Consider the following 13,369-nt stretch of genomic DNA (forward strand, 5'->3'; position numbering starts at 1 on the left):
CAACAAAACTGATTCTAAAGCACAGAATGTATCAGAGTATCCTCAGTAACATTTTCAAGCCATCATCACCACCCAAGAGAGATGCTAATATGCCCCACAGAATTAAAAATAACAGGCCGGGCATGGTGGCTCATGCCTGTAATCCCAGCACTTTGGGAGGCCGAGCCGGGTGGATCACCTGAGGTCAGCAGTTTGAAACCAGCCTGCCCAACACGGCCAAACCCTGTCTCTACTAAAAAACAAAAAAATTAGCCAGGCATGGTGGCAAGTGCCTGTAATCCCAGCTACTTGGGAGGCTGAGGCAGGAGAATCGCTTGAACCCAGGAGGCGGAGGTTGCAGTGAGCCGAGATCGTGCCACTGAACTCCAGCCTGGGCAGCAAGAGTGAAACTCTGTCTCAGGAAAAAAGAAATTAGAAATAACAAGTATCAAGGGTGTTCATAAATAAAACTGGGTTGGGCTGCTCATACAATGAAGGACCAAGCAGCTTTCAACATGATCTGAAGAGGTAGAAGCACTAAGCCAAACTAGCAAACTCTAGTTAAGCAGACGTAGAGGTAAAGTTCTATGTCCAAGTTTAAGAATGTATAGATAGGTCGGGCGCGGTGGCTCACGCCTGTAATCCCAGCACTTTGGGAAGCCAAGGCGGGCGGATCACAAGGTCAGGAGATCGAGACCATCCTGGCTAACACGGTGAAACCCCCGTCTCTACTAAAAATAAAAAAAATTAGCCAGGCGTGGCGGCATGCGCCTGTAGTCCCAGCTACTTGGGAGGCTGAGGCAGGAGGATGGCATGAACCTGGGCGGCGGAGCTTGCAGTGAGCCGAGATCGTGCCATTGCACTCCAGCCTGGGCGACACGGCAAGACTCTGTCTCAAAAAAAAAAAAAAAAAAAAAAAAAAAAGAATGTGTAGATAAAGAACAGAAAATCCTAGAAGATAACTTGAGAGGGCAAGTCAGGCATTAGAAAAATGAATTAGGAAGCCATAGTGGGCATCTGCCATTTTTGAAAGTTCAAAATAATCACTCTCTACATTTTGATATTTTCTTGTATCATATATCTTGCCATCCCCAAGACTACATTTCCTACCTTCCCCTGTCACTAACATCAGACATGGATATATTCTATCCATGGGATGCATCCTCATGAGACAGGTTAGAAATTGAACTGCCCAAGGGGAAGCATTGATTTGGGGGAGTGGATGAGGAGGCCACATTGTCTGGACTCAGTGGCTGCCAGAATAGCCCTGAGCCATGGTTCTGGGAGTTATTACAGGTGGTTTAATGCAGATCCTGTCCTTTCAGAGTAGCCAAAGATTCTGAGAGCTATCTAATATCTCAACACGCAAAGAAACAAGTAAGCAAATATAATTTCCTCACTTAAATGGAATTCTATTGTCTTCGTTTAAGAACAATTATAACACAGGCCTTGGGTGTTTATCAACAAAATTTAAAAAAATCATACATCTGCGAGGCTTACAGGATGGCCCTACAAACAAAATGCAGTAATGTACGTGAAACAGCTTGAAAAAGTACCAAAGAATGACATATATGTAAGTATAGTATATTTTCTACTGCTACAAACGGCAAGTCTTAAATCATAGGACCATTGCAAAGAGACAAATTCTGAATAAACCTTCCAAGTGATACGGGCTGGCCAGTCTTGGGACAGGAAGCCTAATAAAGGAGTGAGCTTCTCATCAGTGAAGATATTCAAGCATGCAGATGATAGGTAACAAAGATACAGTAAATGGAATTTCTATTTTTAAAAGATACTCGAACTAGAAGCTCCTAAATTCTCCTTATAATTCTAATATTTCCTGATTTTCTTTTGCCTATTTATTTTATATAAAGAGATTTTCTGGTCTGGTTTTATGGCTTATTTTCTGTGTATATTATATTTATTTAACATATGCTATGATAAAACTACTTTGTCTCCCTATAAACTATACAAATACATGGAGTTCTTAAATTTATATGTATATGAAATATGTTAATATATCAAAATATGTGTGTGATGTTAGCTTAGAAAATATAAATTAGCATAATTACATTAATTATGGATGTATAAAAATGCATATGGTATATTGCATGCATTTGCAAAATAATTTGTCACGATATTATTTTGTGCACATTTGTTCTTTTCAACTTTTATGAAGAAGGAAATATAAAGTTCTTATCTATATTTCAGTTTTAAGTATATACTTATTATCTCGGGTAAATTTTGTATGCAGATGTTTCTGAGGGGCTGAGTTTACAAACCCGATTCCCAAACATTACAAGAGAAAAGCACACATATGGAAAAGCATAGTGAAATGTGTCCTCTCCATATTCTGCTTGAAGGGTGCTTTATGTATTCTTCTACTATCAAGTAATTGTGCATTCAGTTGCCATTCTACACGGTTGAGTTAGGAACTGTTCAATGGCAGGGCTTTTTAAAACAACAGCCTCATTGAGATACAATTTATATACCATATGATTCACCCACTTAAAGTGTATAATTTAACGGGTTTTTTAGTTGTGCAATCATCACTACAATAATCATGGCATCTAATTTTGAATCACTACAATCTAATTTTGAATATTTCATCACCCCTAAAATAAACTCCCTACTATTTGCACTCTTTCATTCTCCCACCACCTCTTCTCCTCAACCCTAGACAACCACTAATTTACTTTCTGTCTTTATAGATTTTCCCATTCTGGATATTTAATATGAATGGTATTATGTAACATGTGTGTAATATGTGGCCTTTTGTGACTGGCTTCTTTCACTCAGCATATTTTCAGGATTCATCCATGTTGTAGCATGTATCAGTACTTCATTCCTTTTTATTGCGAAATATTATTCCACTGTAGGGATTTGTTATATTTTGTTTATTTATCAGTTGATGGACATTTGAGTTGTTTCTATTTTTTAGGTATTATGACAAATGCTGTGAGAAATATTCACCATATTCTCATCAACACTTACTATGATACATTTTTTCTAGCCATCCTAGTGTGGTGTGAAGTGGTATCTCATTCTGGTTTTGATTTACATTTCCCTGATGACTAACGATGTTGAGTATCTTTTAATGTGCTTTTTGGCCATTCATATAATTTTTTTTTTTTTTTAGAAATGTTGATTCTGAATAAAATTTCCAAATGATGCAGGCTGGCCAGTGTTGAGACAGGCAGCCCAATAAAGGAGTGAGCTTCTTATCAGTGAAGATATTCAAGCATATGGATAATAGGTAATAAAGATATGATAATGCAATTTCAATTTTTAAAAGAGATTTGGACTAGAGGCTCCTAAATTCTCCTTGTAATTCTAATATTTCCTGATTTTCCTTTGCCTGTTTTATATAAAGAGATTTTCTAACCATCCTAGACACTTGCTCATATTTAAATTGGACTACTTGTGTTTTATATTACTGTGGTTGTAAGAGTTCTTTACACACTGTAGATACAAGTCTTTATCACGTATTATTTGCAAATATTTTATCTCATTCTGTGAAAATGCCTTTTTGCTTTCTTGATGGTGTCCTTTGCAGTACAAAAGTTTTAAATTTTGATGAAACCCAATTCATTTATTTTTTTTCATATTTACTGGTGCTCTTGGTGTCATATCTAAGAAATCATTGCCTAATCCAAGGTCATAAAGAGTTATGCCTGCTTTTTCCTAAGAATTCTACATGGTTTTAGCTCTTACATTTAGGTCTTTGATCTCTTTTGAATTAATTTTTGTCTATGGTATAAAATAGGGATCCAATTTAGTTTTAGGTATATGTGGATATCCAGTTGTTCCAGCATAATTTGTTGAAGAAGCCTTTTTTTATTGAATTGTCTTGGCACTCTTGTCAAAATTTAATTGATCATATATGTGAGACCTAATTTTTGGACTCTGAATCCTATTCCATTGATCTATACATCTATCTCTACTTATTTTTGTAAATTCTAACACTAGCACTGTGCATGACCCCTACAGAGTGCAATATATATATCGCCAATGAGTGGCAATCAACCAGAGGACTGCCTTGCCTTTCTTTCTTACTGTCTTAACAGATTATTTTGTTTGTTTGTTTGAAATGGAGTTTTGTTCTTGCTGCCCAGGCTGGAGTGCAATGGTGTGATCTCAGCCCACCGCAACCTCTGCTTCCCGGGTTCAAGCGATTCTCCTGCCTCAGCCTCCCGAGTAGCTGGGATTATAGGCATGTGCCACAATGCCAGGCTAATTTTGTATTTTTAGTAGAGACAGTATTTCCCCATGTTGGTCAGGCTGGTCTCGAACTCTTGACCTCAGGTGATCCACCCACCTTGGCCTCCCAAAGTGCTGGGATTACAGGCATGAGCCACCGCACCCGGCCAACAGATCATTAATTGCACAACGGTCTATGGTGGCTCTCAATAGATTTGTAGCAGTCAATTAGAAAGAAGCATCCTAGCCCTTTAATTCTGACATGTAGTTAATAGAGCAAGTGTCAAAGCTATGGCATAAAGGGTCTGACTCAAGGTCAGATTTTTAAAAATTTCTCAGTCTTTTTGTACCTGTTTTTCTGTTATATAACTATTCCTTGCCTGTAACACTCTTCTATGTTCTTGTCAACTCCATTCTTGTACATAGATGATAAAGTTAAATTTACAAGAATTGCAACTCTGATTTAGTTTTTGAAAATAAAATGTCCATTTTGACATTTTAGTTTATATATTTTTGTCACATAAGTCCAAAAACTAGTAAAGCCAAATGACAGCGCTAGGAATCCACTTAGACAATATATTATCCATATGTATTATGTACCATATATTGTGTTATTTCTTATATATGTGATTTCACTTACCTTTATCCCAGCAATGGAGGTAGGTGCCATTATAATATTTATTCTAAGAAGACAAAGTCAGAGTGCAGATAGGTTGAATAATTTAACCAAAGCCACAGAGCTAAAGAGTTTTGGAGCCAGCATTTAAATGCAGATATGATCAATTCCAGAACCCATAGCTTCAACAAATAACTGCAAAAGGGATCATCATTGTAACATCTTCATTTTAAAAATGAAGAAAATAAGATCTAATGATATTTATTAATTACGCCAAATTATGCAGAGCCACAAAACCCAGTTGTTCAGGTTGTGCATTGCATAAATCTAAGAGTATTAGTTACATAATACCGCTAGACCTGAAAGTGTTCAATCCATTTCCTTCGTGATAGTCTGAACATATTTGCAGATTTCTACTACGTGCTCCTCAAAGCTCAACAGATTTGCTCTTGTGACCAGATTCCAATTTTTTATCAACTACTCTTCATTTCTAATAAAGTTAGATATTTATCACAGCCTGCATTATGTCCTGAGATCTGTGATATATTAGTTGATTAAATTTTTTTTTTCATATGGTAAAGCCCAACCTTTGTGATTTCCAGTTCTACAAATTGTAACAAATGCATGGAGTCACATATCTACCACCAGTATCATATAGAACACTTCCATGCAGTGTCACCAACAGTCCTGATTTGCCTGGAGGAAAGAAGGATAACTGGGACTCAGGACATTCAGTTTTATAGTTGGGAGTCTTGGAAAACTAGGATGCATAATTGGTTGCCCTACTTCTGGCATCCTACAATTCCCTCTCTATAGCCCTCTGCAGTCAACCCCTTCCCCAAGCCTCAACTCCTGGTAACCACCCATCTGTTTTCCATTCTTATAGTTTTGCTTTTTCCAGAATATCATTTAAGTTGAATCATATAATATGTGGCCTTTTACATCTGGCTCTATTACCTAGTTCTTTGATGGATTTAAGATAAGTCATTTATTTTCAGTTTGTCCAGATTTTGTTGTTGTTGTTGTAGAGGTAGGAGTGCTGCTTTTTCCAGCTTTCTCTGTTTCTGAGCTGAAATCACTCATTCACTTTTTGAATGAAGGAAAAAATACCTTGAATAACATAATAATCAAATAGTGGCCCAAGTTTATGAATTGCTTACATATTATAAGCAAAATGAAATGTGTAACAGTTAAAGAGTTTTTTTCCAATGATGGTGCCAGAGAAGGAGTAGGCCAAGACAAAGAGATAAAGATGTTCAAAATCGCAGAGTACAAAATGCAGGTCTAAGTACTACTTAGACTGTAAGAAGATAACGGTCCCTTTATGACCATCTGAGGAAAAAAATATAGCTTTAAGCAGTTCTCTGCTAGCTGTTACTGTACACTGGTATCACCAATTAAAGACCAATGTCTCATGGAAAACAGCGATTGGTATCATAATTCTCTTTACACAGTGCTCTAAGGGATAAACTGTTGGCAATTGTTGTTTCCTAATGGACTCATCTTCTAACAGCAATAATAAAATTATTACTCAGCAACCTTGTAAATGATTACAAATTACAGCAATAAGCAAAAGGTATTCAATCTCACAATTGCACAGTTAAGGCATTTCAACATTAACCAAAGAAATCAGTAATGAACAAATGAGGCACTTCTTCACACAAAGAGCATATAGTATTCTCTATCTGTCCCCACTTTGCATTTTTGATAGCCTAAAAGTAAATTATTTTCTCTCCAAATCATTGCCACTTACTACATAGTACATTTCTTTATTCTCATGTTTAAGCCTCCTTTATTGAACACAAGAGTAATAATTTTATGTCAATATTTAAGGAGACAACTTTTACTCTGGGTTATGATGAGAAAGGGATGTGGCAAATATTGTGTAATGTAGGCTTTCAAACAATTCTCAGAAATCAAAGCCGGGAAAAAAAAAGAGTCACTTTAGCAACAACTTCAGAAACACACCAAACCCTAAGATCATGCTGGTGAAAGGAAGGCAGGACTATTATTCTCCTCACTCTTAGATAATTTAATGTCTAAGATATGAATAAGAGAGGAAAATAAAATCAGAAGGCAACATGCACACACACACACACACACCCACACATAACTGGATTGGCCAAATCTGGATATACTGTGGAAACCGTGCTTAGGAATAAGACAGAAAATCAGTTGCCAGAATCAGCACAAAATCAGAACCAAACTCACTTGTCTTGAAGCCAGTTCCAAAGAGTTTGGCCATATATCCTGAAACCCTTTCTAACATAAGAATTTCAAAGTTAAGGCTGAAGTTTTGGGTAGAATGGCTTTATATATTAAAAAGTAAAGGTTGCAGAAGTTGCTAACAGGCAAAATCTGAAAAAGCCACGAAAAAACACAAATATACCTAACAAATATACATGTCATGCCTTCTCAACCCACCCTTAGAAATCAATTGCACAAAGGCCATACACACTCACATAATTGTAATAGGTCAATTGTTCTTGAGGAGTTGAAGGTCACATGGTGAGGCAGAGGATACCAGCTACCTACTTTCACATCCATTTTCTCTTTGATTCTTGGTAACATGATCCCACATTTTAGCTAAGTATACTGCTTTCTGCAAGGAGAGACTACATTCCTTACCCTACCTTACAGCTTTTTGTGGCTCTGTGACCAAATTCTGGCCGAAAAAGTGTAAGCAAAACTGGGAATTCCAGCAAGGTCTTTAAAGGGGAGAGAAAAATCTTTTCCCCCTTTTGCCCTTTTTGCTGCTTAGAGAACAGAAATGGAGGATGGAGTTCTAGAAGTTACCACAAATGATTGGTTAACCCTGGTGTGGGAAGGGATCTGCCCAAGAAAGCGGGGCAGAAAGGAACAGGAACAATAGGACCTTCAATCAGTTATGAAATTGAGACACAGAAAAGCCACCACACAAGTCCTGGATAGGCTACCTCCAGTCTGCTCTTATGTGAAAGAGAAATAAGCTTCTGTGTTCTAAAAACAATGTTATATTGTTGTTGTTATTGTTCTTGTTGTATAAAGCCAAACTTAATTCTAACAAATATCCTGTAATTGTTTTAGACTATGATATGTTATAAAATTTGATCTGTGTGTGTGTGTGTGTGTGTGTGTGTTAGAAAGATATCTAGAGTCTATGCATTTTCACAGGCACAAATCACATTTTACAACTTACTATGTTATATCTATGAATTCACATAGCCCTGTGATGGTCAGTTCTATGTATCAGCTTGGTGAGGCAATAATCACCAGTTATTCAACGAAACACTAATGTTGGTATTGCTGTGAGGTGTTTTGAAGATGTAACTGGTCTGTAATCCATTGACTTTAATAAGGAAGCTATCCTAGATAATCCTAGACCATATGGGTGATCTGATTCAGTCCTTGAAAGTCCTGAAAAGCAGACTTGGGCTCCTGTGGTGGAGGAGAAACTCCACCGGGGGCAGAAGTGTCAGCTCCTGCCGGAGAGGATCAGCTTGCCCTTCCTCATGCCTGCCCCACGTATTTGCATCTTGCCTAGCCAGTCCCCAAATCACAGGAGCCAAGTCCTTGCAATAAATTTCTTAGCATACATCTCTTACTGGTTCTATTTATCTGTTTCAACTTTGACTGGTACAGTCACAGAATCAAAAAGAATAAAAAATACAGCAAAAGAACAATTGAAACAATAAAGAAAGTGAGTTCTATAAAGAAGGTTAGCTACAATTTTTCCTTTCACTATCACATTTAAATTTCAATTAGGGAAATATTGTTTCTCAGTTTCTTCTTCCTCATGTAGGCCTTGGAAAATCTGCCATCTGCAAAGAAGTTACTGGATGCTTTTTGTTTCTCCAGGCACTCTCTTGGATGATTTAATCCTATGACATTTCGCTGAATTAATTGTATCCACAGTTTCTTATTAAGACCACAGCCAACATAAAAATTCAATTTTGACCTAGGGAGAATTTGTGATAGACTAGACAACTGTTTTAATTTGATTCTGCTACTCCATGAGTTTGATCCAGCTTTCTTTTTCTCTCTTAAGATAGAGCCTGTAAGCAAATGGTTTCTAACATCCACGATCGGCCCTTGGATTGATAACTTTTGTTGCTTTATGACACCTTTCCTGGAATAATGTTAGGGTCTCTGTTTATGTTCTTTATTCTAATAGATAAGAGAACAGGATGTGGATTTTGAGCTTAGACTATTTAGAGTCTGCATTTTTTGTGTACACTAATTTCTGTTGATCAGCTGCTGGCAATCACAGGTCACACTTCTCTGCTGGAGCCTGGATCATTGTGGTGTTTTTAAGTGGTTTGAGGAAAGTAGGTAATCAATGTCAAGATAATTTAACACTGGGATGAGGACATTTCCCTTGATCTCATCTTCCTAAAGCGTGTTTTTGGAATATACATCAATGGAAACATTAGTTTGTTTCATATGAAATAAACATTTCATAGTCAAGTAACTTTGGGAGATGGTGGGCTACACAAACTGAAAAGATGTCTTTACTGCAGGATTTCTCAAAGTCTTTGACATATTAATGAACACCATGAATTACCCAGGAGATAAGTCAGCATATAGCTTTTCCCGTTCTACAGAGCCCAGTTTTGAGCTACGCGCTCCAAACCATCTATTTAACAGACTATCACTAAGTGGAATAATCTTTCTAAGAGCTCCCACTAATATCTAATAATGGAACAATGGAGCTCTTCATAGAGTTATTTAAGTAACACAACATAAAATACTGTATGTTCCTTTACCTAGCATTGGTTGAGTGCTGTGTATACTTTAAAAAGCAACACTGAAGATTCCTGAACCATTTTAGATATTTGATGACTTTTGCCACATCTACAAAATGAACTTGAGGTTTAAGAGGTTTTGTAATGTCTTCTTTATAGTTTCACTCCGCTTCCAAACTCCACTGAATGCTTTTATTTCAGTGCTCTGCAACACCCACTATATGTAGGACCCATCATGATCTGATCTTTCACTAACTTCCTTTTTGCACAGAGCATTCATGAAATCTTGCAGATGGGCAGAAATCTCATAGGTTTTAAAATAAATGGTTCTGCTAGTACAGTCTGTGCGAGGTTAAAATTCATGCAAAAACTTTGTTTCTGATTTTTAAAATTTGATGTTTTTTCATGGCCGCTAAGAAAGTTGGAATTTTCATCAGGAATGAGAAGGGTATTATTGCCCATAGATTGGATATAGTCTTAGCTCATCTACGTAGAATAATGATAAACTGCCATAGACGCCATGACTTAAACCATTTGTATATCTAGTACATATTACATTTCTTTTTTGTGTTTCATTTTGCTTTCTTGGGCAGCATCTCTAGCATACCCCCTATATGCTGTGAAGACTGACTGAGTTAAAGATATATGTGTTGAAAAGTATTGGTGCATGGACATTTAGTGCAGGAGGACTAGGAAAAGCATTGCTGAGGCACATGTGTGCTACTTGTTTTTATTGTTGGAGTCTAACACAATTCTGTAAAGAAGGTGAAAAGTATCTAATTGTAGCGAAAAGTTTTTTGGACTGATTCGGAAAAGAATTAAGGTGGAAGTCAATAATATATTTTGAAACTTTCCAATAGAAAAAGTCCTTTCTTCCCTGCATTTATTCCAAAGATTTTAATAATATTTACCCTTTCTTTTTTAAAAAAACGCAAACTGTAATTCCCCTTTTCAGTATTCTAAAGCTAAAATAAATGGCATATGAATCAGATGGATTAAGATATTACTTCTATAAAAATACTACACTTTTTTTAAAAACCTATGTTTCCTCTCTTTTATTCAGACAACTTTTCTGATGTTCTAAGAAAAACAGCTTTTAAAAAATATATTGAGTCACAATATCCCTTTTAAAAATAGTATAACCAAACTTGTCAAATGTCTATTTTCCCCTTACTTTTCTGTATTTTCAGAAGAGGGAATAAAAAACACTTATGTGTGACTTATATAATACAGAAGAGAAAATTTTCAAAAGTCATTGGATATCCTAATCTACCCAAAATATCATAAAGAATTTTGACCTTCCCTCCCTCCCTCACTCCCTCCCTCCCTTCCTTTCTTTCTTCCTTCCTTCCTTCTGAAGATATACCTTTATACAGATAGCCATTCTTTATCTATAAGGTTATGTGTACAGCATGTAAGGCCATGACTAATACTGTTTATTCTAAGAGCAACACAGTAGTCAAAAGAACTCAGTGTATGAAACCAGCAGAAGATATCAAATAAGTTCCCTGTGGCTTCCATCAGTTTTCAATCATATTTTAGAAAATTCTCTTTTCCTTTCATCCTTTCTTCCATATACCACAGCTGCTTCTGAATCTGCCTCCTCCAAATACAGCAGAGAAACAACTCAAACCCTCCCCAGGGGATGTTCCCCACCTCCCTTTTCCATCTTCATTTTCCATCATGTTGCTAAAGTGACCTGAAAGGAGGGGAGGCGGGCAGGAGACCTCATTTATTTGTTTTAGAAGACAAATAAACACCTGAAAAAGCCCTGAGTTATGAATAATTTTTTCAATACAGTATTTTTGAATGCACATTTTCTTATTTATTTATGAAATAGTTGTGAATTATCTCTATATTAACCTTACCTACGTGTTGATTTGGGTGTTTACTCCTTCTCTTACTGAATTTTATAAATATTTTCATTTTAATCAGTTATCTACATTACAAGAAGTGATTTTTCCCAAATTTATAATTCACATTTGTGGGTTGCCTATATATTTCCTTTACCTATTCATTTACTTGGATCTTAGTGATTTATGTATTTGTTTTAATTCCTTGTCATTTATATAATTATAGTTTGCCCAGTTTCTATTTTCAGGTTATTTATGATGACATGTCCCTAGAGAAACATAAACTTTCATGTATTCAATTGTATTGCCTTTTTCTTTCCTGTTAGTTATCTTGAAAGTATAGGTCCACATTCTAAGTTTATAGTAACACTCACCTATGTTTCTTCCAGTACTTTTAAGGCACTTGAAAGACTTTGAAACTGTTTGTTTACCTGGGATTTATCTTGGTGAGTGAAGTGTGAACCATAGGATTTATAATAATTTCTCTGCTTGGTTTACTAATACTTTTACCATTAATAAATAAGGTAAATTAAGAAGCTTTATTTTGGTTGCTATGCACTTTAAACAGCTTAAAAAAACTAAGAAGTACATTTTTTAAAAAAAGTATTTAAATAGGCCGGGCAGGATGGCTCACACCTGTAATCCCAGCACTTTGGGAGGCTAAGGTGGGCGGATCACGAGGTCAGGAGATCGAGAGCATCCTAGCCAACATGTTAAAACCCCGTCTCTACTAAAAATACAAAAATTACCCAGGTGTGGTGGTGTGCGCCTGTAGTCCCAGCTACTTGGGAGGCAGAGGCCGAAGAATCGCTTGAACCAGGGTGGCAGAGGTTGCAGTGGGCCGAGATCGTACCAATGCACTCCAGCCCGGCGACAGACCGAGACTCTATCTCAAAAAAAAAGTATTTATATATATATATATATATATATATATGTATTTTTTTTTGGCAAAGTAGTCTAGATGTTAGTTGGGGAAAATAACTTTCATGGCTTTTCTCCTATTACCTGTTTGTTTTGGTTTTCTGCTTTTTTAAGACTGTTATTTTATTTTTATTTCTTTATTTTTATTTTTTAAGACGTAATCTCACTCTGTTGCCCAGGTTGGAGTGCAGTGGTGTGATCTCTGCTCACTGCAACCTCCGCCTCCCGGGTTCAAGTAGTTCTCCTGCCTCAGCCTCCTGAGTGGCTGAGAATACAGATGCCCGCCATCACACCCAGCTAATTTTTGTATTTTCAGTAGAGATGGGGTTTCAATATTTTGGCCAGGCTGGTCTCTAACTTCTCACCTCAAGGGATCCGCCTGCCTCGGCCTCCCAAAGTTCTGGGATTACAGGCATGAGCCACCATGCCCGGCCTCTTATTATTTATTTTAAAATGGAAAGGTAAGAAATCTCAGAAAAGAGAGTCATATTGACATTAGAGATGGATTTCAAGAATTTTTTCTAACCCTACCAACAACTTGTTCTTATGGCTCCTGCGGGAGGAGCTGTGCGCCTTTCCTCAGGGTCCCGAACAGTGATGCAGCAATTTTGCAGGCGGGCAGGGTCTCATGGCTTATGTTGTTAGCACTCTTTTGTCGCTGGTTCTTTTCTACTCATTTCTGTACCAGGGTGACTTGCTGTCACTCTGTGCTTTCTCTCTTCCATAGCACTGGTTAGCGTATAATGAATCAAAAAGTTGGGTTTTGCCTTAGGAAATAAGGAGGCCAATCAGCTCACTGGCCCAGTTCCCATTATTCTAGCTTGGTTACCTAAAGTTTGAATTAGATTTGGGGCCGAAATCTGCATAAAAGTGCTGTGATTCTTCTCTGTTCCTGTGATATTATTCCCTGTTATGTATCTCCCTTGGAAACTTTTTGAAATAGTCTCTGTAGGATTTGCTTATTCCTAGGTTCCCTGGCCCTAATACCATTTAATACAGATACAAATTCACCGTAAGTTCTGATAAGCCTAATGCATACAGGCTTTTAAAAGTGAGTAAAAATTGGATGAAGGCTA

The 13,369-nt window shown here is 36.9% G+C and overlaps 1 annotated feature.

Moving 5' to 3' along the window:
• Positions 12,605-12,831: a silencer, noted in NCBI's record as "fragment chr18:4603865-4604091 (GRCh37/hg19 assembly coordinates)". NCBI's record gives its function as "represses an EF-1alpha promoter that drives an FKBP-Casp9 reporter gene in an ReSE screen in K562 erythroleukemia cells {active_cell/tissue: K562}" and the evidence as "EXISTENCE:reporter gene assay evidence [ECO:0000049][PMID:32094911]".

Source organism: Homo sapiens, chromosome 18, assembly GCF_000001405.40.
Source record: "Homo sapiens chromosome 18, GRCh38.p14 Primary Assembly".
Lineage (NCBI taxonomy): Eukaryota > Metazoa > Chordata > Mammalia > Primates > Hominidae > Homo > Homo sapiens.